We start from the raw sequence: 26,913 nt of genomic DNA on the forward strand, positions 1-26,913 counted from the left end.
CCGTTTTGTTCCTTCTAGGCTGTCGAAACCATAGAGACGTCCGCGGGAACCAAAATCACGGTTTTTCCAGGAGAAACCATTGCGGAGCCCAATTTGCCGGTATGGTTGCCATAGAAACTGGGACCTGGAGCGTGCCCATTTTCGGAGGTTCCGAGGCTGTTCCACTTGCCTCATCCCTGCAATCCTTGAGCAGCCAAGGGACTTCAGTACTAACTGGCCCTCTCAGGATGCCAAGAACGGCTCCGCGTCCTACACTGAGCTAGTCCCGGGCGCAAATACGAGGAAGGAAAACTCCAGGGAAGCATTGAGAGTAGCCTGAGAAATTCGTGGAGGCAGAGTAGGTGATAGCTGTGTCCTGATTTTTCAGGGTTGAATACTCATGAATACTCAGCCTTCACAGGAACAGTTATTTATGAAAGCCTAGAGACTAGACATCTCAATAGGTTCATCAAGCACTTTTTTTTTTTTTCTGAGACAGGGTCTCGCTCTGTTGCCCAGACTTGAGGGCAGTGGCGCGATATCGACTCACTCACTGTAACCTCCGCCTCCTGGGCTCAAGTGATCCTCCCATCTCAGCCTCGTGAGTATCTGGTACCACAGTCATGCACCGCCACGCCTGGCTAATTTCTGTATTTTTTTTGTAGAGAAGGGGTCTTGCCATGTTGTACAGGCTGGTCTCCAATCCCTGGCCTTAAGTGATATGCACACCTCGGCTTCCCAAAGTGTTGGGATTACAGGCGTAAGCCACCGTGACCGGCCTCATCAAACACTTTTTGACTCACCATTGTGTGCCAGAACTTGTCCCTTTGGTACTGGGGGATAAAAAGACGCATAAGACACAGGTCTTGATTTAGGGGAACACCCAGTCTAGCCTGGGAAACTTGGGACCTTGAGTGGGATTAGATGGAGGACATGCCAGTGGGACTTGGAGAAAGATACAGGATGGGTGAGACGCGGTGGCTCATGCCTGTAATCCCAGCACTTTGGGAGGCCAAGACAGGCAGATAGCTTGAGCCCAGAAGTTCAAGACCAGCCTGGGCAAAATGGCGAGACACCGACTAAAAATACCAAAAAAAAAAAAAAAAAAAAAAAAAAGCCGGGCATGGTGGTGCACGCCTGTGGGTCCCAGCTACTGAGGTGGGAGGATCCCTTCAGCCCGCTGTGGGAGTGAGGGGAGGGCGGAGGTTGCAGTGAGCCAGAAAAAAAAAAAGCAGGATCCCAGAATGCATGCCAGGCTGAGGAGTTTGGACTTGCCCTGTCGGTATGAGGATGTATTGAGCAAAGGAGGGAAAGAAGATACAGCAAAAGGGACTGCACATGCCCCTACCCCTGCAAGCTGTTCCTTGGCCTCACTGAGCCACCCAAGAACTAAAACCCGAGAAAAGTATCCTTTTCTGCCTCCCCATATCGGTATTTCCGTTGACTTAGCGCCCCCTAGAAACTTCCAAACAGAAAAATCGCCATTTCACAGGAGAGCCTTGTCATAATTGCCCTGTATGTCATACCCATTCATCCCCATAATTTTTTCCATAAAATTAATTTTACTTTCAAAACATGCTACATGGGGACAATACTTTAAACGATCGATCTTAATTACTGGAATTTTAGACACTTGCAGAAGGGATGTGGGATGCTTCAAAGGCATTCCTTAGAGATGGATTCAACAGAGAAACATTTTGTGGAGAGACATCTGACTCCTTTTCCCATTCTGCCACTCATTGTGTGACCTTGAACAATTTTTTTTTTTTTTGAGATGGGGTTTCCCTGTGTTTCCCAGGCTGGCCTTGGACTCCTGGGCTCAAATGATCCTCCTGCCTCAGCCTCCCAAGTAGCTGGGAGTACGGGTGCATGCCACTGTGCCGGGGCAAACTTGAGTTTCGCTGCAGTGTCCTGCAGCCACTGAGAAAATTCCACAGACAGGGCTTCAATTTCCACCCACCCCCACCTCTCCATCTCTTCTACCCCTTCTATCTAAAATATATGTGTGTGTGTATTATATACAAAATTGTATGTTATATAGAATATTTCATATATGTGTGTATGTATGTACATATACATATACAGGTATATATATGAAATATATAAGAAGTTTTAAAATTCCGAATGAGGTAACCCTCAAGGACCCTTTCCAACTTAGAGTTTTAGTGTGATGCACTTTGCCAGCCACTCCCAAAACTTAATGGCCATAAATCTTTGAATCAAGATTCCTAGTCTGGCCTAAGTCTTTGAGCTCACTGTTGTGCCTGATTCACTCATTCAATAAATATTTATTAAAGGTCTCCTATATACTAAGGGCTAGAGGTATAAAAAGGTCCATCTCTTGTCCTGTTAGGCCTCACGATCTTGTGGGGGTTTAAACTAGTTACCAGGCATTTATATCATTGAGTAATAAGAGTTATGGCAAGGTCAGGACACAGTGCTATGGGGATAAGATGAGAAGCATCTGACCCAGTCTGAGACCCCTGGGAGCTTCTTGAAGAAGTCACTGAGGCTGCAGCCTGTCCCTGGGGGCTATGAGAGATCACAAGAGAAATGGGTCTCAAGGAGTTCGCAGTTTAATGGGGTCTCATACCTCCTCACAAGGGTAGAAACAAAGGCCATTATGAGAGAAAAAGAATACATGAATACTTATAAGGAAATGGCCTGAAATGCAGATAACAAGATGCATAGAAATATTTATTACAGTAATATTTATAAAATGGAAAAATTGGAAAGAATCAAAATATCTCACAACAGGAGAAAGTCTACATAAATTACAGTGTAAACATACAATGGACTAATGTGTAGTCTTCAACAATGATGTTGAAGAATTCTTTTTTTTTTCTTTTTTTTTTTGAGACAGAGTCTCTATCGCCAGGCTGGAGTGCAGTGGCACGATCTTGGTTCACTGCAACCTCCACCTCCTAGGTTCAAGCGATTCTGCCTCAGCCACCTGAGTAGCTGGGACTACAGGTGCGTGCCACCACGCCCAGCTAATTTTTGTATTTTCAGTAGAGATGGGGTTTCACCATGTTGGCCAGGATGGTCTCGATCTCTTGACCTCATGATCTGCCTGCCTTGGCCTCCCAAAGTACTGGGATTAAAGGCGGAGCCACCGTGCCCGGCCAAAGAATTCTTAATAGCTTGGGTACATGTCTGTGATATAATTGAAATGAAAAAAGAAGATACAAAATGTTACCTACAGTAAGAACCTATCTATGTTAAAAATTCATAGGCAATAGGATCAAAAGTAATAAAATACTTAGGAATACATTTAACAAAAGATGTGCAAGCTTTATACATTGAAGCTACAAAACCTCATTGAAAGAAATTAGGAAGAGCTAAATAAATGGAAAGATACCCTGTGTTCATGGAATAGAAGACAATATTGTTAAGATGACAATACTCTCCAAATTGATCTATAAATTCAACACAATCTCTATAAAAAATCCCAGCTGGCTTTTTTTTTTTTTTGCATAAATCAACAAGTCCATCCTAGAAGTCATATAGAAATGCAAAGGACCAGCTGGGAGCAGTGGCTCACACCTGTAATCCCAGCACTTTGGGAGGCCGAGGTGGGAGGATCATTTGAGGTCAGGAGTTCGAGACCAGCCTGGCCAATATGGTGAAACCCCGTCTCTACTAAAACTACAAAAATTAACCAGGTGTGGTAGCACGAATCTGTAATACCAGCTATTTGGGAGGCTGAGGCACGAGGATCGCTTGAACCTGGGAAGTGGAGGTTGCAGTGAGCCGAGATCACACCACTGCACTCCAGCCTGTACGATAGGGTGAGACTCCGTCTGAAAAAGAAAAAAAAAGAGAGAGAAAAGAAAAGAATAGAAATGTAGGCCGGGCATGGTGGCTCACGCCTGTAATCCTAGCACTTTGCGAGGCCGACATGGTCAGATTACCTGAGGTTGGGAGTTCAAGACCAGCCTGGCTAACATGGTGAAACCCTGTCTCTAATAAAAAAAAAAAATACAAAAAATTAGCCGGGTGCAGTGACGTGCACCTGTAATCCCAGCTACTCTGGAGGCTGGGCAGGAGAATCTCTTGAACCCGGGAGGCAGAGTTTTTGGTGAGCTGAGATCATGCCACTGCACTCCAGCCTGGGCTACAGAGCGAGACTTGGTCTCAAAAAAAAAAAAAAAAAAAAAAAGCAAAGGGCCCAGAATAGCCATAACAATCTTTAAAAGGAAGAAAGTTGTAGGACTTACACTTCCTGATTTCAAAACTTACTACAAAGCTACAGACTGTGGGGTTTTCAAAGAGGATAGACATATAGATCAATGTAATGGAATTGAGAATCCAGAAATAAACCCATACGCTTATGGGCAATTGATTTTGCACGAGAGTGCCAAAACAGTTCAATGGAGAAAGAATAGTCTTTTCAACAAATGGTGTTGGCCGGGCATGGTGGCTCAAGCCTATAATCCCAGCATTTTGGGAGGCCAAGGCAGGAGGATCACTTGAGCTCAGGAGTTTGAGACTAGCCTGGGCAACATAGTGAGACATCGTCTCTACTAAAAATAAAAATTAGGCTGGGCATGGTGGCTCACGCCTGTAATCCTAACACTTCGGGAGGCCAAGGTGGGTGGATCACCTGAGGTCAGGAGTTCGAGACCAGCCTGGCCAACATGGCGAAATCCCGTCTTAGCCAGCATGGTGGCAGGCGCCTATAATCCCAGCTACTCAGGAGGCAGAGGCCAGAGAATCGCTTGAACCCGGGAGGCGGAGGTTGCAGTGAGCCAAGACTGCGCCACTTCACTCCAGCCTGGGCAAAACAGCGAAACTCCATCTCAAAAAAAAAATTAAAAATTAAAATTAAAAATTAACTGAATGTGGCGGCCCACGCCCATAGTCCCAGCTACTTGGGAGGCTGAGGTGGGAGAATTGCTTGGAGCCTGAGCTGTGGTTGTGCCACTGTGCTTCAGCTTGGGTGACAGAGTGAGACTCTGTCTAAAAAAAAAAAAAAAAAAAAAAAAGGAAAGAATCCTGTGAAGTCAATTTAGCATGAAGCCCTCCACTTTTTTTTTTTTTGACAGAGTTTTTCTGTGTTGCTCAGGCTGGAGTGCAGTGGCGTGATCATGGCTCCCTGAAGCCTCAATCTCCTGGACTCAAGCAATCCTCTCACCTCAGCCTCCCAAGTAGCTGGGGCCACAGGAGTGGCACACCATACCTGGCTAATTTTTGTATTTTTTGTAGAGACAGGGTTTCACCATGTTGCCCAGACTGGCCTCCAACTCCTGGGCTCAAGCATTCCTCCTGCCTCGGCCTCCCAAAGTGCTGGGATTACAGGAGTGAGCCACCGCGCCCAGCCTAAGCCCCCTTCTCTTGATACCTGATCACCCTTGATATCTGATCAGGTTCCTCATCCTTCACCATCCATCAGGTGATATCTGATTACCTCAGCCTGTCTTTGGCAAGAATCTTGTAAGGTTTTAATGCAAATCCCCTTTACCCCTGGTGTTTTTTCATAATAATTTCCCATCTCCTAACCCCCACCCTGCACCTCAGTTATAAATTCCTCAGTTATACTTCCCATGCTGTATTGAGAGTTGAGCCCAATTTCTCTTTCTCCCCCACTGCAAAATCCCATTGTCATGGTCCCTATACCTATCACAATGGTCCTGAATAAAGTCTGCCTTACCATGCTTTGACAAGTGTCATCGAATAATTTTTTTCTTTAACAAGATATTTTCCCTTCATTTAAAATTGTCTACAATTAATGTATTATTTTTTCAGGAAAGTGATTTTAAAATAACAAATGGTTTTGGGAGGCCGAGGTGGGTGAAAGACCTGAGGTCAGGAGTTCAAGACCAGCCTGGCCAACATGGCAAAACCCCATCTCTACTAAAAATACAAAAATTAGCCAGGCATGGTGGCACGCACCTGTAATCCCAGCCACTCGGGAGGCTGAGGCAGGGGAATCGCTTGAACTCAGGAGGTGGAGGTTGTAGTGAGCCGAGATTGTGACACTGCACTCCAGTCTGGGTGACAGAGCAAGACTCTGTCTCAAAAAAAAAAGAGAAATGGTTACAAATGAGAGCCCCTGAGTGCTGAGGGAGGTGGGGCAGAGGTGAGGTGCATATGACTGGCCCCAGGGGAAGACCTTCAGGAGGAAGTATGTGTGGTCCCTGAGACTGACTACCAAACCTTGAATGCCTCTCTAAATTCCTGGAGCAGAATTGAATCCTAAAAATTAAGGCACTGTGTTATTTTTCTATACTGGGTTTAAATCTACACATAGTGTTATAAAAGTCAGGCCAAGCCAGCATCTCCCCATGATTCATAAACTAGTACACAATTTATCTTCCTCCACTTCTTCCCAGTTATTTTTTCTGTCAGTAAACCCTGAGACTGAGGAAAGAGAAAATATGTTGTGGTTGCAATGAGTGTGGGATTTTTAAAAAAAATCTATATAGCAAATACTGGCAATGCTTACCTATTCGAATATTATTCACTTTTCTTTCTGTTGAGGAAAAAAAAAAGGTGAGCCTGTGTCTCACAGGATTCAATCCTTAGCCTAGGCAGGTTCTAATTTTCTGACTTCATTAACCCTTTGAGTTCATGATAATAAAGATATTATGATCCCTTGCCAACAGTACTTTACTATTTAAAATAATTTTCACACGGTGGTTTACAGTTTAGAATATCATGTTCACAAACATTACCATATTTGAGTCTCACTGTAATATTGCCCAGATTTGTGCTTACCTACAAATAGGGGCCGACAGAGCACAGAGAGAGATGGAATGAGACGTGCTCTCAGCACTATCACTGCTGCTCTCTGATGCCATCTAGTGCAGGTTCAGCTGAACACTTATTTCTATTTAAAGCCCTATTGCCATCTGCCCCTTGGTGTCATCATTCTCTCCGATCTGGATGAAGCCCTGTCTCTGACCTGCATCCCTGTCCCTCTGGGTCTTGTCTCTGCCTTTCCCTGGCCTCATTGTCTCCTTTAAAACCTTCAGTGTGTGTAAATGCTGGTCATGGTGTAGGTGAAGGATGCCAAGAAGGGAGGCAGGGTATAGCAGGGCCCTTTTCTTTTCTTTTCTTTCCTTTCTTTCTTCCTTCCTTTCCTTACTTTTTTTTTTAAAGACAGAGTCGCACTCTGTCACCCAGGCTGGAGTGCAGTGACATGATCTTAGCTCACTGCAACCTCCGCTACCCAGGTTCAAGTGATTCTTCTGCCTCAGCCTCCCGAGCAGCTGGGATTATAGGTGTCTACCACCACACTTGGCTAATTTTTGTGTTTTTAGTAGAGACGGGGTTTCACCATCTTGGCCAGGCTGATCTTGAACTCTTGACCTCGTGATCCACCCGCCCTCTTTCTTTTGCAGTGCTTGCTGCGCTTCTAGAGTTCTCCTAGAGGGTGCAGGTTTCAAGGTAGCAGACACACCCATTTGGGTTGCTTTTTTATGTTTTTCATACGACATATTTCCAGATACATCAGTAAAGATGCTGTGGAAAAATTTCTGAAAGGGGCAGTATAGAAAACACCAACACCAGTGGGAGTAGAGCTGGGAAGGAGGACCGTGATGGTAAGAACACCAAGGAATCCCAGCCTTATTCATTCTCCCTTCGAACAAGAGCTTAGCTGAACACAGGAAAAACAGAGGTCTGAAGCGCTGAGTCTGAAGGATGCCCCCAGAGCTTTGAGGGCTCTGCTGTAGCATCTTTATCTTTGAGCATCCTCCACCACGGACACCTGGTGATCCCCTAAACATGCACAGGACCTGAGCCAGGTGCAGCGCCCAGAACGCTGCAGGGGCCCTCAGCACTGGGGATACAGCCTTCCTGCCCCACCTGCTGGCTCTCTGCCTTATTACATGTTACCATTTCAATCATGGCTAAATATATTCATACACATCTTATATGAATGTATATAAATGCCTTGAAAGATTGCAAAGACAACAAAAGATTAAAAGTCATTTTCTCTATGTGGTAGGATTAAGGGGGCTTTTCACTTTTTAATGTTGTTATGTTTGTTAAATTATCTACAATTAAGTGCATCATTGTGTAATCAGTAAAAAATTAATCCAAGTAGTCTTCCAATTAAAAAATTATTATTCTATGATTCATCCTGGCATTTTGATGGCCTTATTTTTACATTTATATTTTTGAGCCTTCTGGATTTTAGTTTAAGGACAGTTATAGATCTGCTGTTTTCTTTTTCCAGATAACTAGTTGTTGCGACCTTTAGCAACCTAAATGTCCATCAATAGGCATCTCATTAAATAAATTATGCTCCATACGGACACAAATAAAGGAACAATAGACACCAGGCCTACTTGAGGGAGGAGGGTGGGAGGAGGGTGAGGATTGAAAACCTACCTATCAGGTACTACGCTTACTACCTGGGTGACAAAATAATCTATACACCAAACCCCCACAACATGCAATTTTCCTATAGAACAAACCTGCACATGTACCCCTGAACATAAAATAAAAGTTAAAAAACAAATACAGGCTGGGCGCAGTGGCTCACGCCTGTAATCCCAGCACTTTGGGAGGTCGAGGTGGGCGGATCATGAGGTCAGGAGATGGAGACCGTCTTGACCAACATGGTGAAACCCCGTCTCTACTAAAATATAAAAAATTAGCTGGGTGTGGTGGCACGTGCCTGTAATCCCAGGTCCTTGGGAGGCTGAGGCAGTGAAATCGCTTGAACCCAGGAGGTGGAGGTTCCAATGAGCTGAGGTCGCACCACTGCACTTCAGCCTGGTGACAGAGCAAGACTCCATCTCAAAAAAACAAAAACAAACAAACAAATAATGCTACAGCCACCCACTGAAATACTATGCAGACATGAAAAATGAGAGAATTTGATGTCATGTGCTGATAGGACAAATGCTCACATCATATTATTCGGTGGAAAAGCAAAGTAGGAGGCCAGGCGCGGTGGCTTACGCCTGTAATCCCAGCACTTTGGGAGGCCAAGGCAGACGGATCACCTGAGGCCAGGAGTTCAAGACCAGCTTGACCAACATGGAGAAACCCCGTGTCTACTAAAAATACAAAAAAATTAGCCAGGCATGGTGGCGGGAGACTGTAATCCCAGCTACTCGGGAGGCTAAGGCAGGAGAATCGCTTGAACCAGGAAGGCGGAGGTTGCAGTGAGCCGAGATCGCGCCATTGCACTCCAGCCTGGGCAACAAGAGCAAAACTCCGTCTCAAAAAAAAAAAAGAAAAGAAAAAAAGAAAAGTAGGAAACGGTTTGTATATCATGATCTCAGGTTAGAATATATGTATGATGTATGTTTCCATTTATCTACCTTCCTGTAGATTCTTAAATATTTTTCTGGAAAGATACAGCAGAAGGCTAATAATGGTTCAGTTGTTCCTGGGGGCGGTGAGAAGAAAGAAAGAAAAAAGGAAAGGAAAATTTTACTTTTCATTTTATTCCTTTGATAGTGGTTGAATTATTTTTCAATATGTAATGATATTACTTTTGTTTCATAACAAACATAAAAATCATAAGTGGAACATGACTTTCATGTGTGTATGGATTTTATGTCCTCTTAAAAATTAGGTGGCCAAACATGGTGGCTCACACCTGTAATCCCAGCACTTTGGGAGGCCAAGGTGGGTGGGTCCCTTGAGCCTAGGAGTTTGAGAGCAGCCTGGGCAACCTGGTGAATCCCCATCTCTACAGAAAAATACAAAAATCAGCTAGGCATGGTGGTACACGCCTGTAATCCTAGCGACTCAGGAGGCTAAGGCGGGAGGATCAGAGAGGTCGAGGCTGCAGTGAGCTATGATCGCACCACTGCCCTCCAGCCTGGGCCAGAGTGAGACCCTAAAAAAAAAAAAAAAAGGCCAGGGGCAGTGGCTCACGTCTGTAATCCCAGCACTTTGGGAGGCCGAGGCAGGCAGATCCCTTGAGGTCAGGAGTTCAAGACCAGCCTGGCCAACATGGGGAAACCCTGTCTCTACTAAAAATACAAAAAATAGCCAGGCGTGGTCATGCGCGCCTGTAATCCCAGCTACTTGGGAGGCTGAGGCACTAGAATCACTTGAACCTGGGAAGTGGAAGTTGCAGTGAGCTGAGATCGTGCCATTGCACTTCAGCCTGGGCAACAAGAGCGAAACTCTATCTCAAAAACAAAAAACAAAAAAACAAAAAAACCCCTAAAACTTAAAGTATAATAATAAACAAACAAACAAACAAAAAAACCAGGTGATCCCTTCAATCAATCAGTAGCTGTCTGTGTTTTGATTGATTCTGTTCCCTTTGAAACTTCTTCCCCTACCAGTGATAATGCCTAAAATGTATTGATTACTTTCTATGAGCCAAGCACTGTTCTGCTTATCAATGCTGTAGTTATCTAATATTCCTTCGTTAGTAGGTAGCAGGGCTGAGATTTATGCTTAGACTTTCAACCCAGAGGATATGGAACTTTTTTGTTAGTTTGTTTTGTGCACAGGGAAAGAAGGAACAGAGCCTGTGGAACTTAACCCCTACTCCATACTGCCTTTTTGTTAAACTTGCAGAAATTGGAAGAAAACTTCAATTTTATTTATTTATTCAGAAAATATCTTCTGGGTTTTTGTTTTGTTTTGCTTTTTTGAGACGGAGTTTTGTTCTGTTGCCCAGGACAGAGTGCAGTGGCGTGATCTCACTTCAAGCTCACTTCAAGCTCCGCCTCCAGGGTTCAAGCAATTTTCTTGCTTCTGCCTCCCCAGTAGCTGGGATTACATGTGCCCACTACCATGCTCAGCTAATTTTTGTATTTTTAGTAGAGACGGGGTTTCACCATGTTGGCCAGGCTGGTCTTGAACTCCCAACCTCAGGTGATCCACCCGCTTCTGCCTTCCAAAGTACTAGGATTACAGGTGTGAGCCACCGCGCCCGCCAGTAAACATTTTCTGAATGTCTGGTATATCCAGGTGAAGCTGTTAAGTTGCTTCTTCCTTTTGTTTGGATATTTTTTTTGGAGGGAGGAGTGGTCCCACTCTGTCTTCCAGAGTGGAGGGCAGTGGCTAAATCATAGCTTACTGCAGCTTTAAACTCCTGGGTTCAAGCAATTCTCCTGCCTCAGCCTCCCAAGTATTTGGGACCACAAGCACATGCCACTGCTCCTGGCTCCTGTTTCTTGCTTCTGTTAAGGAAAGCTTCCCGGAGGAAGCACAAATGGGTGAACCTAAAGTCTCTTTGATGTTGCTAGTGGGACTGAGGAGCAGGAAATGGTGGCTCACGGGAGCAGCAAACACTAAAGCTGTCCTTAGCTACGCGAAGGACTTGCAGAGGAGTCTTGCTGATAATGGCCACTTCATCTTGGAGTTCATAGCTGGTTCCTTGCATGCTGGAGATACAAAGTGGTCCTACCCTTCCAAGAGTTTCAGCTTCCTAAAAACTCTTGCAGTAATTCTGCCAGTGGATTTATTATTAAAGGGAAGCGGAGGGTGCTAGTGTGTTGCCCTCAATAAAGGGAAGTTGAGAAGTGGAAAAACACAATTCTCAAACTTTTTTGTTATTCATTAACTCATGTCATCATTTTATTGAACTCATTAATGAGAGAACCAATAAGGAGACAAAAGAGCTGCTTTGAGGAGGATTTGAGAAACAGGAATTTAAACAGTCAATAAGAAAAGAATTGTCAGGCCAGGCATGGTGGCTCACGCCTGTAATCCCAGCACTTTGGGAGGCCGAGGCAGGCGGATTGTGAGGTCAGGAGATCGAGACCAGCCTGGCCAACATGGCGAAACCCTGTCTCTACTAAAAATACAAAAAAATTAGCTGAGCGTGGTGGTGCACACCTGTAATCCCAGCTACTCAGGAGGCCGAGGCAGGAGAATGGCTTGAACCCGGGAGGCAGAGGTTGCAGTGAGACAAGATCGCACCACTGCACTCCAGTCTGGGCGACAGAGTGGGACTCCGTCTCAAAAAAAAGAAAAGAATGTCAAAATTAGATTGATAATTTAGATATAGGACTGGCTAACTTTCTAGCACAGTAAAACCAAAACCCCTTTGTGATTAACTTCTCAATTGGGCAATAAAACCCTATCATTGTATCAAGTTCTGCAGGTTAGCCTTTACCCAACAGGACTATAAATGTCTGTGCATTTGTAAGTTGTAGATTATTTATCAAATGTACTGTGACAACAAAGTCACATTCCCTGGGAGAGTCAGATGAGTGTCAAGCAAACTTATTAGAAAATGCTCTAGACCAGGTGTGGTGGCTCATGTCTGTAATCCCAACAATTTGGGAGGCCAAGGCGGGTAGATCACTTGAGGTCAGAAGTTCGAGATCAGCCTGGCCAACATGGTGAAGCCCCGTCTCTATTAAAAATACAAAAAATTAGCTTGGTGTGGTGGCTCACGCCTGTAACCCTAGCTACTTGGGAGGCTGAGACAGGAGAATCACTTGATCCCAGGAAGCAGAGGTTGCATTGAGCCAAGATCATGCCACTGCACTTCAGCCTGGGTGACAGAGTGAGATTCCTTCTCAAAAAAAAAAAAAAAAGAAGAAAAGAAAAAAGAAAAAAAAGAAAAAATGCTCTAGTGTGATATATAAAAAAATCCTCAATTTTACCATTTCCAAGTTTCAAGAAATTATTCTTTCACAGCAAAGAAGAACTCATCTAGCTTTAGAGATAGGCTACCTGGGTTACTTAGTAAGTATATGAACTTGAACAAGTTACTAGCTTACTAACCCTTTCTGAACATCACTTTCCTGGTCTATAAAATGGGAATAATAATACTGTGATAGAGTTTATTTCTCCCATGTGAAAGAACATACAGCTATAAGTTGGGGTTCACTTTTTTTTTTTTTTTGAGACAGAGTCTCACTCTGTCACCAGGCTGGAGTGCAGTGGTGCAATCTCAGCTCACTGCAACCTCCGTCTCCCTGGTTCAAGCGATTCTCCTGCCTCAGCCTCCCGAGTAGCTGGGATCACAGGCACGCGCCACCACACCCAGCTAATTTTTGTAATTTTAGTAGAGATGGATTTCACCATGATGGCCAGGATGGTCTCAATCTCCTGACCTCGTGATTCACCCGCCTCAGCCTCCCAAAGTGCTGGGATTACAGGTGTGAACACGGCACCCAGCCAGAGTTCACTTTTTCAAATTATTCCAATCCTGGTCTGAGAATGGTTGATTAATACGTGTAGATCTTACTTCTGGGTTTGTTTGACCAATATGAGATTGGGAGTGAGAATCTGTACAAACTGAAGCCAGACCCCACCTAGACTGGCCAGAATCAGAAGACAAGCCAGGGATTTGAGAAGCCACGCTTTGAGGCCTGGGAAAATAAGATGGGCTAAGAAAATAAACAGTCAAGATTTTGAGATATTTATTTGGAGGGATAGCTGAGCAAAAATACAGTTTAAACGGTCCACTTGAATATCAGCAGTGAATTGACCATTATAAACAGAATGACAAGTGACATGATTATTAATAAGTAAAATCTAATTTTACATCTTGGTAACTTTGCAAACAGCTTCTTGACATTTGCCTTTTACTGTTCCTTGTGCTTTCCATTATTTCACTTTATCCTTATCCACCTCTGAGATGGGCAGAAGAGGTACTATTTTGTTTGACTGAGAACTTCATACAGTCAGGAGCTTCATACAATCATTTGCTTCTGTGTCTCTGCAGACTGAGGCCCTTTAGAAAGTAATTTAAATAGAATTGAGTTTCCATTGTGCAGATGAAGTAACAGGCCCAGCAGCGAAGCCTGGGCCTGTGTCACCTAAGGTGACACTGTGGCAGAACTGTAACTAGAACCCAAGCCTCCTGTCCTCTACTAGAAGGTCTCCTATGCCCAGCAGCTGTAAAGGTTTGTACTGCAGAGTTCTACCTTGCACGCTCTGGGGAGTAAGCCTTGCATACTTCAGGCCTCTATATATGGCCAGGAGTGGAGTCTAGGAGAGCGTCCAAATAAAGCACCAGGCTGAGTTCAATGTTGCTGCCTTTTGGCCCTGGAGAAATGCTGGAAAGCCAGGCATGGGGGTGCCCGCCTGTACTCCCAGCTAATCAGGAGGATGAGGCAGGAGAATCACTTGAACCCAGAAGTTTGAGGCTGCAGTGAGCAATGATCACACCACTGTACTGCAGTTCTGAGTCACAGAGACAGATCCCATCTCACTCTCTCTCTCTCTCTTTTTTTTTTTTTTTTCAGACAGAATCTTGGTCTATCGCCCAGGCTGGAGTGCAGTGGTGCGATCTCAGCTCACTGCGACCTCCGCCTCCTGGGTTCAAGTGATTCTCCTGCCTCAGCCTCCCAAGTAGCTGGGACTACAGGCACGCATCATCATGCCCGGCTAACTTTTTGTATTTTTAGTAGAGATGGGGTTTCACCATGCTGGCCAGGCTGGTCTTGAACTCATGACCTTGTGATCCGCCCACCTCGGCCTCCCAAAGTGCTGGGATTACAGGCATTAGCCACCGTGCCCAGCCAAATCCCATCCCTTAAAAAAATTTTTAGAGATCCTATCTCTTAAAAAAATTTTTAGAGATCCCATCTGTTAAAAAAAATTATTAAAAAAATGTTGGAAAGAGAAAGACCAAAGAGAGCCATGCCTTTTAAAGTCCTCCCTAAAGTGTCATCTTGCCAGCCCTTCCAGTCATTCACACAACAATCCTAGTCATAAACTGGGGCCATGCTTGCCATCACCAGGGGTCAGGAAAACTGGCCAGCTGAACCTGCTTGGATGGTGGAAGCGAGTGTGGGTGTTAGAGAAGGAGATGTCGGGACTCCGTGCTTGTCTGGAATCACTCCACCACACTCTGGTCAGTAGGTATAGGACTGACAAAGCCCTTCCTCAGAGATGCTGGGTCAGTGAGGAGACCCCAGCTTGTCTCAGCCATCTCACCCCACTCCCATTTTAGCGTCTGGGGGGAAACTGAGAATGAAAGTGACCTTGAGTAAACTAAACACAGTTTGGCTATTCATTATATGTATTCCTGTCTGTTCCTTTCTCATTCTGTCCTCACTGGGTTGTTTTTGCATCTGTCAAATAGTTCTAGGCTTTCCTCCCCATCAAACTCAGCCTTTTATGGATTTACATACCAGAGACTTCCAAGCCACAGTTCAGAAGTGATTTGTGGAGAAAGGAACAGTAAATTTGTGGAGAAATGAGCCTGGGAATGGATGCAGTGGCCAGGCTGTGGAGCCATTTATATCTACTTCTCCCTCTGCCGGAGGCTGTTTGTTTGAGTTGGCAGGAAGCCAATCAGATGCACTGGATCAGGGTGTCCTGTCCAAGGAGACAGGGGGCTATTTGTCTTCTCTCATGAGAGAGACAGTCGTGGGAGGAGGAGGGAAGCGCTTAAGAACAGGGATGGAGTAGATAGGGAAAAGATAGTCAATCAGATCTCTCAAGAGTATAGTCGGCCGGGTGCAGTGGCTCATGCTTGTAATCCCAGCACTTTGGGAGGCCAAGGAGGGAGGGTCACTTGAGTCCAGGGGTTTGAGAGCAGCCTGGGCAAGATAGGGAGACCCTGTCTTTACAAATAATTTTTAAAAGTTAGCTGGGTGTGGTGGTGCACATCTGTGCACCAAGCTACCTGAGAGGCTGAGGTGGGAGGGATCGTTTGAACCTGGGAGGTCGAGGCTGCAGTGCGCCATGATCGTATCACTGCACTCCAGCCTGGGTGACAGAGTGAGACCCTGTTTCAAAAGAAAGAAAGAAAGAAAGAAAAGTATATTCAAGGTGAGCTTCCTATTATTAGATATGGCCCAAGTGAAAACCTGGAGCTTGTCTGAATTGGACAGCCAAGGAGAGAGGCAGAAGAGGATTAGTGGAAAAAGCAGAAACTTCTAGGCTTGACTCAATGACTGTATTGTGCGTGATTTGGGGCAAGCCACCTTCCTCTCCATCTCCTCCTCTAGTAAATGTTCAGCATCCTGAGGTCTCCAGTTCTGAAAGGGTATGGTTCTTTTTTTTTTTTTTTTTGAGATGGTGTCTCACTCTGTTGCCCAGGCTGGAGTGCAGTGGCACGATCTCAGCTCACTGCAACCTCCTCCTGGGTTCAAGCGATTTTCCCACCTCAAGCCTCCCGAGGAGCTGGGATTACAGGCGCACACCACCATGCCTGGCTAATTTTTGTATTTTTAGTAGAGACAGAGTTTCACCATGTTGGCCAGGCTGGTCTCGAACTCCTGACCTCAGGTGATCCGCCCACTTCGGCCTCCCAAAGTGTTGGGATTATAGGTGTGAGCCATAGTGCCCAGCCTCTTTTTTTTTTTTTTTTTAACTCACAGAACATGAAATTATATGGTTTTAATAATGCAAAGCTACTTCCATGGGGCTACAGCAGAGAGAAAATAAGGCTAAAATGGAACTTAAAGCTCAAAACATTTCTACATGGCTGTTTACAGGGGCAGGTGGAGGGAGTCCTCCCTCTGCATTAATAGAAAACAAAAACAATTGGGCCTATTCGGCATTGTTGGAAATGTTCTATGTCTTGATCTGGTGGGTTTTTACCTGTGTACAATATATGTACACACGTAAAAATTCATTTAGCTGTACACATAATTTCTATGACTTTTTTGTATGTAAATTATACCTCAATGGAAAGGTTTTAAAATGGACTTAATTAGGCCCAGCATGGTGGCTCACGCCTGTAATCCCAGCATTTGGGGAGGCTGAGGTGGGCGGATTGCTTGAGCCCAGGAGTTCAAGACCAGCCTGGGCAACATGATGAAACCTCATCTCTACAAAAAAATACAAAAATTATCTTGGCGTGGTGGCGCACGTCTGTAGTCCCAGATGCTCTGAAGGCTGAGGAAAGAGGAGGATGGCTTGAACCCGGGAGGCAGAGCAGAGGTAGCAGTGAGCCGAGACTGCGCCACTGCACTCCAGCCTGGGTGACAGAGCCAGACTCTGTCTCAAAAAAAAAAAAAAAAAAAAGTTAATTAGACGGGTGTGGTGGTGCGCGCCTGTAGTCCTAGATAATTTCGAGGCTAAGGGGGAAGATCTCTTGAGCCCAGGTGTTCGAGGCTGCAGTGAGCTATGATTGGGCCACTGCACTCCTACTTGGGCAACAGATAGAGGCCTTGTCTTAAAAAAAAAATTTTAAAAAGGCCGGGCACGGTGGCTCACGCCTGTAATCCCAGCACTTTGGGAGGCCGAGGCAGGCGGATCACCAGGTCAGGAGATCGAGACCATCCTGGTTAACACGGGGAAACCCCGTCTCTACTTAAAATACAAAAAATTAGCCGGGTGTGGTGGTGGGTGCCTGTAGTCCCAGCTACTTGGGAGGCTGAGGCAGAAGAATGGCATGAACCCGGGAGTCGGAGCTTGCAGTGAGCCAAGATCGTGCCACCGCACTCCAGCCTGAGCGACAGTGCGAGACTCCGTCTCAAAAAAAAAAAAAAAAAAAAAAAAAAGACTTGAGAGAAAGTGAATTTCCATCCAGGAAGATTAAGGATCCCCTTCTGAGTACTTTAAAAAGGTTATCTATTTGTGCTGAGGGAAGAGGTAGAATATTAGGGAACCAATAAGATAACTTCTCTTTTGGAGAGGTTTCCAAAGTCCTTCTGTCCTCAGAAATTCTCATGTTCCTCCCCAGGGACAGAAAAATCCTCCTTGCTGTCTAATCTCCATCTCTCCTATTGCAATGCTAGCCACTCCCTCTGCCCTCATGGAGCCCAGCCTTTCCCCTGGCCTCAGACAAAATCTCTTTAGAGCCCTGTAATTTGGAGTGTTGAGAGAGATTCCATTTCAACCTTTTCACCATCCGTTCTCTGCCCCTCACCCTATTCTCTTCTTCTTGGGGATGTCAATTCCTGTTCTGAGCCCGCCCCCCACCCAGGCCCTTTTCCGGTGGTATGTGCCAGCCGGTCCTGCATCCCACATCCCCAGCTGTTGACATTTCATTGCCATTACCCACAGAATAAAGAAAGGGGCCCTGTTATTCAACAATAGGGGAAAAGACAGAGACAATGGGAAATTGTGCTTCCGATGGGGTGGGGACTGAGAAGGAAAGGACAGACAGACAGACAGACAGGGGGTTGTACAGAAGAGGTCCGGTTTCTTGAAGCAGCTGGAAGTCCTGGATAGTTCCCACCTGAAAGTCTGTTTGCAAAGGCAATGCGCACTCAGGCACCAGAGGGCAGAGGTGAGTACTCTGTTGTGGGGAGAGGGGAGATGGGGATGCTGCTTAGATGAGGCGCATATGGAAAGGGAGGCAGCTCGAGCTTGGCAGTTATGGATCTTTGAGCCACATTTAGAGTTCATCCCCATCCCCATCAGTCCAACACCTTCATATCCACCGATCAATCTACACCTCTCTGGTTCAAAGGCATCGAGAAAAAATGAAGCACCTCACTTTCTGCACTCTTCCAGGTCATCATTCCTGGGTTGCTCCCTTTATTCCACTCCCCTTCATGGGTTCCCAGCCCTCATCCCAACCCCAGCATCTTCCCCTGGTCCCGGAATAGTGATTTCCACAGATATAGTCACAGGGCTGGACACAGGTCTCTTAACATGGCTTAGTGGACTGATGGGGGTGGGGGTCGTTCTTGGCACCTTGGCTTCTTCTTTGAGCACAGGACAGAAGCTTTTCCTCAAAGGTGCAAAAGGAGCAACTGTGTTGAACAGGGGCTCAAGTTCCAGGGTTTTAAGGTGCTTGGAACTCCCAGGAGCCTGGCAAACCTTCATCCAGAACCTCTTCCTCAAGCAAGACAAAAAGCTGCTAAGCACTGCTCCCTCCGTCTCTGTGAAGAGACCAGCTTCTAACAGGTAGGCAATGGGCTGCTGACTACTCTCATTTTCTGTAAGAGGTATGAAGAGCATGTGTGTGCACTGTTTTGAAATGCAGAAATATAGATTAGTGATTAAGCGCTTGAGCCTCACTGTCAGATCTGTATTCAAATCCCAGCAAACCCTTCCTCTTACTAGCTGTGTGACCTCATTTCCTAAAATAGGTGCACCTTGGTTTCAGCATGTGTACAGTAGGATTTATAATTGTTTCTGCCTCAGGATTGCTGGGAGGAGTAAATATAAAAATATACATGTAAAGTGCTTAGAGCAGTGTCAGGCACATTCAATTTTAAACGTGTTCATTTGAGCTATCATTATTGTTGGTCTCAGTCAATCTCAGTCCTCACGATCATTCTTACTTATCAAGTTCTCCTATAAAGAAGTGGTTCTCTTGCTCATGTTCGCATCCCAGATACTTTCACCTTTAACCACTGAGAAGTTTTCTATGCATAACCTCCGTTTCTCCTACTGCAAACTGGTCTTTGGTCCTCATTTGCAGAAAGATGGAGCTCCATTCTTTAGATTTCTGGCAACTTCTCAGGGTGCTTCCTCCATCTCCCCATTCCCCATCCCATCTTCCCATGAATCCTTAATGTAAGTTCATTAAACCATACACACTTATTTAGCACCTACTATGTACCAGAAACTATGCTGGGAACTGGAGATAACAGCTAACACATAGACAGCACTTATTACATTCCAGACACTATTTCAAGCATTTTGCGTATATCAATTTATTTATTCCTCACAACTACTCAGTGAGGTAGGTGTGCTATTATTCCCCACATTTCACTGATGAGGACACTGAGGCAGAGAGAGGTTAAGGAACTTGTGCATGATAATTAACTTATGCATAGTCATGCAATTAGGAAATAGAGTAGCCAGATTTGGAAAACGAATGCAGTGAAGTCAAGAAGTCTTCATTTTTTTTTTTTTTTTTTTTGAGACAAGGTCTTGCTCTATCCCCTAGGCTGGAGTGCAGTGGCACAATCTTGGCTCACTGCAGCCTCCACCTCCTGGTTTCAAGCGATTCTCCTGCCTCAGCCTCCCGAGTAGCTGGAATTACAGGTGCATGCCACCACGCCCAGCTGAATTTCGTATTTTTAGTAGAGACAGGGTTTCACCATGATGGCCAGGCTGGTCTTGAACTCCTAATCTCAAGTAATCCACCCGCCTCAGCCTTCCAGTGTTGGGATTACAGGTGTGACCCACTGTGCCTGGCCCAGTCCAATTTTTTTTTTTAAGGTCAGAGGGATAAGAATGATACAATAGGTGCTGGAGGCGATGGCTCACACCTGTAATCTCAGCATTTTGGGAGGCCAAGGAGCGTGGATCACCTGAGGTCCGGAGTTCTCAAGACCAGCCTGGCCAACATGGTGAAACCCTGTTTCTACTACAAATACAAAAATTAGCCCGGAGTGGTGGTGGGTGCCTGTAGTCCCAGCTACTCAGGAGAATCGCTTGAACCCGGGAGGTGGAGGTTGCAGTGAGCTGAGATGGTGCCATTGCACTCCAGCCTGGGCAACAAGAGTGAAACTCCCTCTCAGAAAAAAGAAAAAAAAAAAAAAAAAGAATGTTACAATAAAGGAGGAGCTGGGTGCAGTGGCTCAAACTTGGGAGGCTGAAGTGGGAGCATTGCTTGAGCCCAGGAATTGGGCAACCTAGTAAGACCCTGTATCTGATTAAAAAATTTTTTTTACCGGGAGGTGGAGCTTGCAGTGATCCAAGATCGTGCCACTGTGCTCCAGCCTGGGCAACAGAGCGAGACTCCATCTAGAAAAAAAAAACACAAAACAAATTTAAAGGGGGGAATAACTACAGTACTGAAATAGATAATTGCATTTGAAGTAGTTTTTAAAAATAACTTTATAATTTTATATTTTTTAACTTCATAATTTCTGTATCTATATGTGGATACATATTATGTTCAAATTCACACTGTTAAGTTTAGGTGCTAATAAAAGTACTTGTAAGACAAAAAAAGTCCTGGCTGGGTGTGGTGGCTCATGCTTGTAATCCCAGCATTCTGGGAGGCCAAGACAGATTACTTGAGCCCAGGAGTTCAAGACCAGCCTGGGCAACATTCTGAAACTCCATCTCTACAAAAAATAGAAAAGAAAAAAATTTAGTGGGGTTTCATGGTGTGCGCCTGTAGTCCCAGCTACTCAGGAGGCTGAGATGGGAGGATGGCTTGAGTCTGGGAGGGCGAGGCTGCAGTAAGCCATGATCATACCACTGCACTCCAGTCTGGGCGAGAGAGTAAAACCCTGTCTCAAAAAAAAAAAGGTCCGCAGTCCAGCAGATCACAGTGCACTACAGTGTGGCAAACTGGGGGTGGGTAAAGGTTTCCCAAAGGAGGTGAGGCCTGTGCGACCAATGCAGGCACAAAGGAAAGGAAATGAATGCAAACTTGGACTGTGTGGGAAACTGCCAGAAATCCAGCATGTCAGGGGAACAGTGCAGAGGCCAAAGTGGTTAAGAGGCGAGGCGGGGACCATGCTGGAGGTGCAGGGAGCAACTGGATTATAGACAGCCTTGGAAGCTGTGGTTATGAGATTGGATTTTATCCTCAGGGCAACTGGGAGTCACTTTCAAGCAGGAGAGTGACAAGGCCAGGCACGGTGGCTCACGCCTGCTGTAATCCCAGCACCAGCCTTGTCAACACAGCATGACCTTGTCTCTACTAAAAACTTAAAAAGAAACAATTAGCTGGGTGTGGTGGCACATGTCTGTAGTTCCAGCTACTCAGGAGGCTGAAATGGGAGGATCACCTGGAGCTGGAAGTTAGGGGCTGCAGTGAGCCATGATCATGCCACGGGACTCCAGCCTGGACCATGGAGCAACACTCTGTCTCAAAAAAATAAATAAATAAATAAATAAATAAATAAATAAATAAATAAAATAAAAAAGCAGGAGAGTGATAAGATCATTTTGACTCTGGCTTCAAGATGGAGAATGGGTGTTGGGAGAGGATAGAGACGAGCTGGCAGTCCAGATGGCAAGCTTGGGAAGTAGCACTTGTGATGAGGGGGACAGGTAGAGAAGATGCTAAATTAGTACCTGCAGGCTGAGAGGATGTGACAGAGGAAGAGAGGGAGAGGAAGGGGATTGCTACTGCCTTCTTCCCCTCATCACCTTCATTTTGTCACCAACCCCTTTTCTCTGCCCCAGTGGCTTCCAGCTGGACAGTCCCTTCTAGGATCTCTGATGGGAGTTCACCCACAACCCTGCTCTTCCCCACCCTTTTGCCCCAGTCCTAAGAACTGCCCACTCTTTGTGCCCTGCAGACGGTGCCGGGCTGACCCCCCATCATGCCAGGCTGGCTCACCCTCCCCACACTCTGCCGCTTCCTTCTTTGGGCCTTCACCATCTTCCACAAAGCCCAAGGAGACCCAGGTAAGACCCCAGCCCAGGCCAGAATCTGGGGGAGGCTTGGGGAGACTGCAAGGGTGGGGAAAGGGGAAAGGGCAGTTGTTGCAGGTACCCAGGGACTGAAAGTCATTGCTGAGAAGGCAATGGAGGAGAGGGTTGGGGGGCTCTGGAGAAAGCATTTGGGGAGCAGGGTCTGATGGGCACTTGGGGCAGTGAGGATTGGGGGTTCCTGCCACTGTGGCCCCCTCTGCCCAGCATCCCACCCGGGCCCCCACTACCTCCTGCCCCCCATCCACGAGGTCATTCACTCTCATCGTGGGGCCACGGCCACGCTGCCCTGCGTCCTGGGCACCACGCCTCCCAGCTACAAGGTGCGCTGGAGCAAGGTGGAGCCTGGGGAGCTCCGGGAAACGCTGATCCTCATCACCAACGGACTGCACGCCCGGGGGTATGGGCCCCTGGGAGGGCGCGCCAGGATGCGGAGGGGGCATCGACTAGACGCCTCCCTGGTCATCGCGGGCGTGCGCCTGGAGGACGAGGGCCGGTACCGCTGCGAGCTCATCAACGGCATCGAGGACGAGAGCGTGGCGCTGACCTTGAGCTTGGAGGGTGAGGCCCTTCCGCTCCCGCCCCATTCCTGTGTAGCAGCGGGTCCGCCTCGCCTGGGTCTCCCAGGGCTCCTTCCCAGTATCTCCTCCGCACCCCTGGGGACCCCAGCTCCCTCTCCCAGGCCGCGCCGCCCTTCCTCCCCCTCCGCTCCCATCCGCTGGCCCTCCCCAGGATCCCCGCCACCCCCTAGGTGTGGTGTTTCCGTACCAACCCAGCCGGGGCCGGTACCAGTTCAATTACTACGAGGCGAAGCAGGCGTGCGAGGAGCAGGACGGACGCCTGGCCACCTACTCCCAGCTCTACCAGGGTGAGCGGCCGAACCCAGCACTTCCCAAGCCCCGCGGAGCTGTCTCAGGGGCCCGAGAGAGGGCGCCAGGCGAGCTCAGTCTGGCTCCTGCCTATGACGCCTCTTATCCCCGACCTCCGCCGTCTCCCGCCAGCTTGGACCGAGGGTCTGGACTGGTGTAACGCGGGCTGGCTGCTCGAGGGCTCCGTGCGCTACCCTGTGCTCACCGCACGCGCCCCGTGCGGCGGCCGAGGCCGGCCCGGGATCCGCAGCTACGGACCCCGCGACCGGATGCGCGACCGCTACGACGCCTTCTGCTTCACCTCCGCGCTGGCGGGTGAGGCGCGGGACGAAGGCAGGGTCTTGGGGAGGGGTCTGAAAAATGTGGGGGACGAGGAGTGGACCTCAGCTTGAGATCAGGGCAGGGTCTCCGGGTCCCTCCAAGGCACCGCCCCCCCATCAGCCCGCCCGCCCGCCCAGGCTCCAGCTCACCTCTCCAAACCCTCCCTGCACTTTTGCCTCGATCCCCCAACTCCTCTTACCCAAGCTCGATCCAGCACCTCTGCGGTCCCGCACCCCAACTCCGCCTCCTGGGTGTCAGCCGCCCCTCTCCGCCCACCCTGCCCTCGGTCGGTGACCCGCTGTGGTCCCCAGGCCAAGTGTTCTTCGTGCCCGGGCGGCTGACGCTGTCTGAAGCCCACGCGGCGTGCCGGCGACGCGGCGCCGTGGTGGCCAAGGTTGGGCACCTCTACGCCGCCTGGAAGTTTTCGGGGCTAGACCAGTGCGACGGCGGCTGGCTGGCTGACGGCAGTGTGCGCTTCCCAATCACCACGCCGAGGCCGCGCTGCGGGGGGCTCCCGGATCCCGGAGTGCGCAGTTTCGGCTTCCCCAGGCCCCAACAGGCAGCCTATGGGACCTACTGCTACGCCGAGAATTAGGCGCCCACCGTGTCCCCTCCAGCGCGCGCGAAGAAGCTTGGGAGTCGTGGCGGGGGTCTCTCGCCACCCCTTTCCGGAGAGCCTCCCCTCCCTCCAGACCCGGAGCGGCCTCTCCAGACCTGCCTTCCCAGCCGGGGGCTGCGGGCCTCGGACCCCGGCTGGCCCGGCGGCGGGGAGGGGAGGCGGGGGCGCCTCCGGCGGCGAGATGCAGAGGTGACCCTCGGACCCGCTGCCGTTCGCGAACCCTAGCAGAGGACTCAGCCACCGCCGGGGGGAGGGTGAGGCGGCCGGGGGCATTAACTGACCTCTGAGTACAGCAATAAAATAACCTGGGGATCTTTTGTGTTGGGTGGAGCTGTAAGAGCTGCGAGGCGTGGAGGGGTGTGTGTGTGTGTGTGTGCACGCTCATGTCGGGGCTGATGACCCGGGATCCTGCGTGCCCACTGAGCACCTAAGACAGGGTAAGGGGCAGGGCTGTTGCTGTTAAGGGATGGGTCAGCGGAAGAGCGGGAGTGCGGCCGGAGGGCACCAATAGGCCAAGGGAGAGAGAGAAGTGGAGACGTAGTGGGCGCCTGGCCCAGGACCCACGCAGAACCCAGCATGTTGTTGCGCCAGGCGCCACGCGGGGGCGCCGCACACTCACCTAAGATTAGTTCAAATCTGCCAGGGGCGCCCCATGCCACCAGGCCCACCCTATGTGCCCCAGATAACAAATATAAGACAACTTAAACATATTTCAAAATGTGCAGGCTGCAGACCTCCCTGAAGCGTTTGCGGGGACTACTGTTAAAGATAGGAAAGTCATATTGTTGCTAGAATTGACAGGAAATTAACCTTGCGTAAGGCGGAGGCAAATACCAAACACCAGGGCCACCAAGGCAAATGGGGAACTGGACAAGTAACATTCTTAACCTGTGGCTAAAGGAAACATACTAGCAATTCAAGAGACAAATTCTAATGTTATTAATTCACTTTTCACATATATATTGGTGTGTATATACATAGGTTTCTAACTATACTACAAAAAAGCCTGAGCTAGATAATACTAATGAATGGGGCAAAGGGCACGAACACGCTAATGGTGCGTGATATATGTTGTAAAATTGATTTCCAAGGGGGTTCTTGCTATAATTGCTAAAGAAAATTCATCCCATGGAACATTATATAAGGGACAGAGAATGATAGAATGAACAGTCTTCAATAACCATCATGCAGCAAATGAGATATTTGTGCCATTTCCTAAACCTTGATTTTCTCATCTTGGCAAGGGATAATAATGTTTGTCTTTTGTGTTTGTTGTGAGAATCAGTTGAGGCATTGCATGTACTGGGTAGTACATGCCTGGTACACATAATAGGCACTCAAGTGGTACCTATAATAATTAATAATTATTGTGATTACAGTAATATGGCAACAATAGTAGTTTTTCAGCTTCTTATCAGGCAGCCTGAAGGGTTGGTTGTCGTATGGCACTATATTAGTCAAGATCAGGTAGATTATGCTGTGAAAACAACTCCCAAATCTCAGATAACAAATATAAGATGACTTAAACATATTTCAAAACGTGCAGCCTGCAGACCTCCCAGAAGTGTTTGCGCTATTAAGGATAGGAAAATCAGGCCCAGTGCGGTAGCTCATGCCTGTAATCCCAACACTTTGGGAGGCTGAGGTGGGCGGATCATTTGAGGTCAGGAGTTTGAGACCAGCCTGGCCAACATGGTGAAACCCCGTCTCTACTTTAAAAATATAAAAATTAGCCAGGCGTGGTGGCGGGTGCCTGTAATCCCAGCTACTTAGGAGGCTGAGGCAGGATAATTGCTTGAACTCAGGAGGCGGAGGCTGCAGTGAACAGAGATCGCACCACTGCACTCCAGCCTGGGCGACAGAGCGAGACTCCATCTCAAAAAAAAAAAAAAAAAAAAGATAGGAAACTCATACTGTGGCTTAAAATAACAAAGGTTTATTTCTCACTCAGGCTACACGTGCGTTGTGGTCAAAAAGGGAGTTCTTATTTTTGTCATTCAGGGACACAGGCTGATAGAGTAGCCACCATCTTGAATACTGTCAGTCACCACACTAGCAGGAAAAAATAATAAGAGCTCTGCAGGGTTTCACAAAGGCAATTAATAGCTTCCACCCAGAAGTGACACCTGTCCCTTCAGTTCACAACTCATTTGCCAGAACTAATCACATGGCCCCACCCAACCACAAGGGGGCAAGAAAGAGCAATCCTTCTTTGGCCTAGAAATAGGAAAACTGGAAATATTTGATGGACAGCATCAGTGTCCACCATAAGCACCAAGGAGAGCAGTCTAGACTCTCTCTTAGACATAGTGGTAGTCACCCAATCTTTTCTGGGTTTTCTAAGCTATTGCCTATGATGAAGTCAGAGCCCCAGAAAGCCAAGATACTGGACCCCAGCAGCTCAGCCAGCAGGAGGATGGCTTTTCTTCAGTGTAATGCCTTCAGCCTAAGGGCAAGAGACCATACAAGAAATGGTCACGGGCCAGGCGCAATGGCTCATGCCTGTAATCCCAGCACTTTGGGAGGCTGAGGCATTTGGGATCAGGAGTTTGGGACCAGCCTAGGCAACATGGCAAAACCTCATCTCTACAAAAAAATACAAAAATTAGCTGGGCTTGGTGGCACACTCCTGTTGTCCCGGCTACTCAGGAGGCTGAGGTGGGAAGATCGCTTTAGCCAAGGAGGTCAAGGCTGCAGTAAGCCAAGATCGCACCACTGCACTCCAGCCTGGGTGACAGAGCAGGACCCTGTCTCAAAAACAAAAGCAAACAAACAAACAAACAAACAAAACGGTGAAAAAGGCCATAAGAAGAGCTTTCCATTTGCTGCAAATCTCCATTTCTTCAATCACAAAACCACAGTACCACTCATTCCTACAACTACTCTGTATATTGCTATCAGCATTATTTCTTATTATAGAAAACTTTAAACATACACAAAAGTAAGGGCTGGGCGCGGTGGCTTACGCCTGTAATCCCAGCACTT

At 47.4% G+C, this 26,913-nt stretch overlaps 1 protein-coding gene and 1 long non-coding RNA gene across 5 annotated transcripts, besides 1 other annotated feature; one reads left to right on the forward strand and one right to left on the reverse strand.

The window, feature by feature from the left end:
- Window positions 1–23: 23 nt before the first annotated feature.
- On the forward strand, window positions 24–24,245 carry HAPLN2 (hyaluronan and proteoglycan link protein 2). Of its 4 annotated transcripts, XM_017002020.2 has the most exons (8): window positions 24–99; window positions 17,978–18,055; window positions 18,538–18,678; window positions 21,987–22,095; window positions 22,327–22,680; window positions 22,871–22,987; window positions 23,121–23,303; window positions 23,621–24,245. In XM_017002020.2, exons 4-8 carry the CDS (start codon window positions 22,011–22,013, stop codon window positions 23,902–23,904), a joined length of 1,023 nt encoding a protein of 340 aa, XP_016857509.1. In that variant the 5' UTR covers window positions 24–99; window positions 17,978–18,055; window positions 18,538–18,678; window positions 21,987–22,010; the 3' UTR covers window positions 23,905–24,245. The 4 variants fall into 4 exon arrangements, with proteins under 4 accessions (XP_016857509.1, XP_047283079.1, NP_068589.1 ...); NM_021817.3 differs by lacking the exon at window positions 24–99 and having other exon boundaries at window positions 17,935–18,055; XM_011509853.3 differs by lacking the exon at window positions 24–99 and having other exon boundaries at window positions 17,935–18,055; window positions 18,579–18,678.
- On the reverse strand, window positions 13,262–20,448 carry LOC101928177 (uncharacterized). The gene is made up of 2 exons (NR_135113.1): window positions 20,400–20,448; window positions 13,262–13,597 (listed from the first exon to the last, which is right to left on the reverse strand). It is a non-coding gene; the product is annotated as an uncharacterized LOC101928177 (long non-coding RNA).
- Window positions 24,379–24,438: an enhancer, noted in NCBI's record as "active region_1874". NCBI's record gives its function as "activates an Ori minimal core promoter by ATAC-STARR-seq in GM12878 lymphoblastoid cells {active_cell/tissue: GM12878}" and the evidence as "EXISTENCE:reporter gene assay evidence [ECO:0000049][PMID:35858748]".

Source organism: Homo sapiens, chromosome 1 (genome assembly GCF_000001405.40).
Source record: "Homo sapiens chromosome 1, GRCh38.p14 Primary Assembly".
Lineage (NCBI taxonomy): Eukaryota > Metazoa > Chordata > Mammalia > Primates > Hominidae > Homo > Homo sapiens.